Source organism: Homo sapiens, chromosome 11 (assembly GCF_000001405.40).
Source record: "Homo sapiens chromosome 11, GRCh38.p14 Primary Assembly".
Classification (NCBI taxonomy): Eukaryota; Metazoa; Chordata; class Mammalia; order Primates; family Hominidae; genus Homo; species Homo sapiens.
In genome coordinates this window covers 96963238-96967730 of record NC_000011.10, presented here as the reverse complement: position 1 = coordinate 96967730, position 4493 = coordinate 96963238, and the positions used below count along the sequence as shown (strand labels likewise).

General features: G+C 40.3%; 2 annotated features.

Annotated features, from left to right (window-relative positions):
* Nucleotides 2148–2685: an enhancer, noted in NCBI's record as "H3K27ac hESC enhancer chr11:96836046-96836583 (GRCh37/hg19 assembly coordinates)". NCBI's record gives its function as "activates a minimal SCP1, AML or CMV promoter by ChIP-STARR-seq in primed H9 embryonic stem cells {active_cell/tissue: H9 hESC(primed)}" and the evidence as "EXISTENCE:reporter gene assay evidence [ECO:0000049][PMID:30033119]".
* Nucleotides 2686–3224: an enhancer, noted in NCBI's record as "H3K27ac hESC enhancer chr11:96835507-96836045 (GRCh37/hg19 assembly coordinates)". NCBI's record gives its function as "activates a minimal SCP1, AML or CMV promoter by ChIP-STARR-seq in naive and primed H9 embryonic stem cells {active_cell/tissue: H9 hESC(naive and primed)}" and the evidence as "EXISTENCE:reporter gene assay evidence [ECO:0000049][PMID:30033119]".

Here is a 4493-nt window from a genome sequence, read left to right as displayed (position 1 = left end):
TAAAAGTACAGCACATACAACTATGTACAGTATTTAATACTTGATAACAATAATAAACAACTATGTTAACAGCTCATGTATTTACTATATTATATTATACTTTTTAATGATTATTTTAAAGGGCACTTATTCTACTTATGGGTGAAAAAAAGCTAACTGTAAAACAGCCTCAGGCAGGTCCTTCAGGATGTGTTGCAGAAGAACGCATTGTGATCATAGGAGATGACAGCTTCATGCATATTATTGTCCTTCAATACCTTTCCATGGAACAAGATGTGGAGGTGGAAGACAACAATACTGATAATTCCAACTTTGTGTAGACCTACGCTAATGTGTGGGCTTGGGTCCTAGTTTGTACCAGAGTTTAAAAAGTAAAATAATAATAAATTTTAAACATAGAAAAATTATGTAGAATAAAAATATAAAGAAATTATTTTTGTAGCTATACAACGTGTTTTGTGTTTTAATTTTTGTAGACATATAGGTATCTATATTTATGGAGTACAAGATATATTTTGATACAGGCATATAATACATAATAATCACATCAGAGTAAATAAAGTATCCATCACCTCAATAATTTATCCTTTCTTTGTGTTACAAATAATCCAACTATACTCTTTTAGTTATTTTAAACTGTACAATAAATTACTGTTGACTGCAGTGACACTGTTGTGTTATGAAATACTAGATCTTATTCAGTCTATCTAATTATATTTTTGTACCTGTTAATTATCCCCACTTCTTCCTACCCCACTACCTCTCCCAGCCTCTGGGAACTATCATTCTCCTCCCTATCTCCATTAGTTCAATTGTTTCAATATTTGTAGCTGCCTCAAATGAGTGAGAACATGTGAAGTTTTTCTTTCTGTGCTTGGATTACTTCACTTAACATACATGTTGCAAATGACAGGATCTCATTCTTATTATGGCTCCATTATGTGTATGTATACCATTTTCTTTATGCATTTGTTTGTTGGTAGATATTTAGATTGCTTACAAATATTGATTATTGCAAATAGTGCTACAATAAACATGGAAATGCAGACATCTCTTCAATAAACTGATTTCCTTTTGGGCGAGCATATACCTAGCAGCTGGATTGCTGGATCATATGGTAGTTCTATTTTTAGTATTTTGAAGAATCTCCAAATTGTTCTATATAGTGGTTGTACAAATTTGCATTCCTACCAACAGTGTACAGGTGTTCTCTTTTCTTTGCATCCTCACCATAATTTGCTATTGTCTGTCTTTGGACAAAAGCCATTTTAATTGGGGTGACTCACACCAATGTGTCCTGTATGTGGGACATGGAGTCAAAGGAGATTATTTTGGAGCTTTAAGATTTAACGACTGAACTTCTGTGTTTCTAACTTGCATGGGACCTGTAGCTCCTTCCTTTCGGCCAATTTATCCCTTTTGGAACAGGAGTATTTACCCAATGCTTATACCTCCATTGTATCTTGGAAATAACTAGGTTGTTTTTGATTTTACAGGCTCACAGGCAGAAGGGACTAGCCTTGTTTCACATGAGATTTTGGACTTTGGACTTTTGAGATAATGCTAGAATGAGTTAAGACTCTGGGGGGACTGTTGGGAAGGCATGATTGCATTTTGAAATGTGAGAAGGACATGAGATTTGGGGCCAGGGCAGAGTAATGTGGTTTGGATCTGTGGACATGAGAAGGGGCCAGGGGCAGAATAATGTGAATTGGATCTGTGTCCCTGCCCAAATCTCATGTAAAATTGTGATCCCCAGTGTTGGAGGTGGGGCCTGGTGGGAGGTGATTGAATCATAGTAGAGATTTCTCAGGAATGGTTTAGTGCCATCCTGTTGGTGCCTTCCTCAAGATAGTGAGTGAGTTCTTATGAAATCTGGTTGTTTAAAAGTATGTAGAACCTCTCCCTACTTTGCTCCTTCTCTGGCCATGTGATGTGTCTGCTCCCCTTTTGCCTTACACCATGATTGGAAGTTTCTTGACGTCTCTCCAGAAGCCAAGCAGATGCTGGCATCATGTTTCCTGTACAGCCTGAAGAATCATGAGCCAACTAAACCTCTTTTTGAAAAAATAATTACCCAGTCTCGGGTATTTCTTTATAGCAACGGAAGAACAGCCTTACACAAAGAGTGAGGTATTTATGTTAGTCTTCATACTCTGGGCTTGTTTGTACCTATCCTTTTTTTAGGATGGCTCTCTAGATATTTGAAGAAACTTGGGTATTGTGATGTAAGTCTTTGAACACTCCAGCTTCATTTGCTTTAGGGGGCATCCCAAGCCCAGTAATTTGCCAGCTCTAGCAGACTCATAGACGTACCACCTTGGTGGTCTTAGTAAGCTCTGAAAGAACTCCCTGGATTACCAGGTGGACCTTTGTTCTCCTTTCCTCACATTCCTCCAAAGAAAGAGACTCTCTCTGTCTGTGCTTAGCTGCCTGGTATTGGGGATGGGTGATGCAAGCATGCCCTTGGCCACAGCCACTGGGACTGTGCTGGGTCCGACCTGAAGCAAGTACAGCACTGGGTTTCACCTAAAGCCCACAGTGACCATTGCCTGTCTACTGCCTGTGTTCACCCAAGGCCTAAGGGCTCTTCAGTGATCTTGTGGTGGATACTGCCAGTCCTTAGTCTCTCCCTTCAGGTCAGTGGGCACTCCCCTGGCCCAGGGAAGGTCTAGCAATGCTGTCTAGGAGCTAAGGCCTAGAATCAGTGACCCTAGGAGCCTGCTTGGTGCTCTACCCCACTGTGGCCGAGTTAGTGCCCAAGCCACAAAACTAAGTTCCCTTTACTCTTTCCTCTCCTTTCCTCAGGCAGAAGGGGTTTATCCCCATAGCCACTATAGCTGAGAATGTGCTGAGTCACACTTGAAGCCAGAAGGCCTCTGAATTTCACCCAGTGCTCACAACAAGTACTGCCTGGCTACCAATGCTGATTTTTCAGAGCCCAAGGGCTCTTTATTCAGTAGGTGATAAATCCTGTCAGGACTGCATTCTTCCCTTGAAGAAAGTGGGTTCCATTCTGGCCCAGCGTATGCTTAGAAATCTCATGGAGGAGCTAAGGCATAGAAAGGGGGCCTCCGGGCTCTGCCTGGTGCCCTATTCTATTGTGGCTGAGCTGGTCTCCAAGTTGCAAGACAAAATTCTCTTTAATCTTCTCTCCTCAAGCAAAGAGAAGTAGTCTCCCAGGGCTGTGGTTGAGGGAGGGGTAATGCAAGCACTCCCTTGGATGCCTCACCTGGTGTCCCACTAGATTGTACGTACCACAAGTCCACTGGTTCTGAGACTAGCACAGCACCAGGACTTCCCCAGGAATTGTAGTCCTTGTGGCCTAGACTGCCTGTCAAGTTTATTTTGAACCCCAGAACACTTTGGCCCGCCATGGAAGGTCTTGTCGAAACTCAGGTTTCTGCTGAGGGATGAGGGAGGAGTAGTGTAGGTGATTCAAGACCTTCTTTCCTACTCTCTTCAGTGCCTCTTGCCTTGATATGATGTTAAAAGCAGGTACTGTGATAATTCATTTGATTTTTGGTTCTTATGAAGGTGACTTTTTGTGTAGAAAGTTGTTCAATTTGGTGTTTCTGCCAGGAGGAAAGTAGCTAGAGGCATCTACTTGGCCATTTTGTTCCACCTCCCACAATGTATTTGTGTTTTAAACTGTTATTACAAAAGAGTAAAAAAGTTTTAAAAAATTAAAAAGTTTATAAAATGAAAAAACTACAGTAAGTTAAATTTATTACTGATAAAAGAATTTGTTTTATAAATTGAATTCAGCTTAAGTTTACAGCATTTATGAAGTCTACAGTAGCGTACAGTAATGTCCTCAGCCTTCACATTCATTCACTCACTGACTCACCCAGAGCAACTTCCAGTCATGCAAGCTCCATTTATGTTAAGTGCCCTATAAAGGTATATCACTTTTTATCTTTTATACCATATTGGTTTTTGCTGTACCTTTGTTAACCTTTTATCCTATATTGTTTTTACTGTAATTTTCTATACTTACAAATACAAATATCACTGTCTTACAATTGCCTACAGTATTCATCGCAGTAGCACGCTGTACAGGTTTGTAGCCTAGAAACAATAGGCTAAGCCACATAGCCTAGGTGTGTGAGAGGCTATATCATCTAAGTTTGTGTAAGTCCACTCTATGATGATTGTGCAATGATGAAATTGCCTATTGACAAATTTCTCAGAACTTATCCCCACTGTTAAGTGACACATGCCTGCATTATATTGCTGTCAAGCAATTGTGCTACATTTCTCTAAGCTACTCTCCCAATTACCATATTTCATACTCTTTCTTCATATATCTCCAAAATCTTCTCCTCATAGTCACTCTACTGATTTTATTTTCAATTTCACTTCTACCCAGTCTTAACACCACATCTACCTAACCTTCTTTACACTCGTGCCCACATAATCTGCCTTCCCACCAGCTTGCCCCATGCTTTTGTAAATGATCCAGACACCAAGTAAGACCACTACTTTCACTT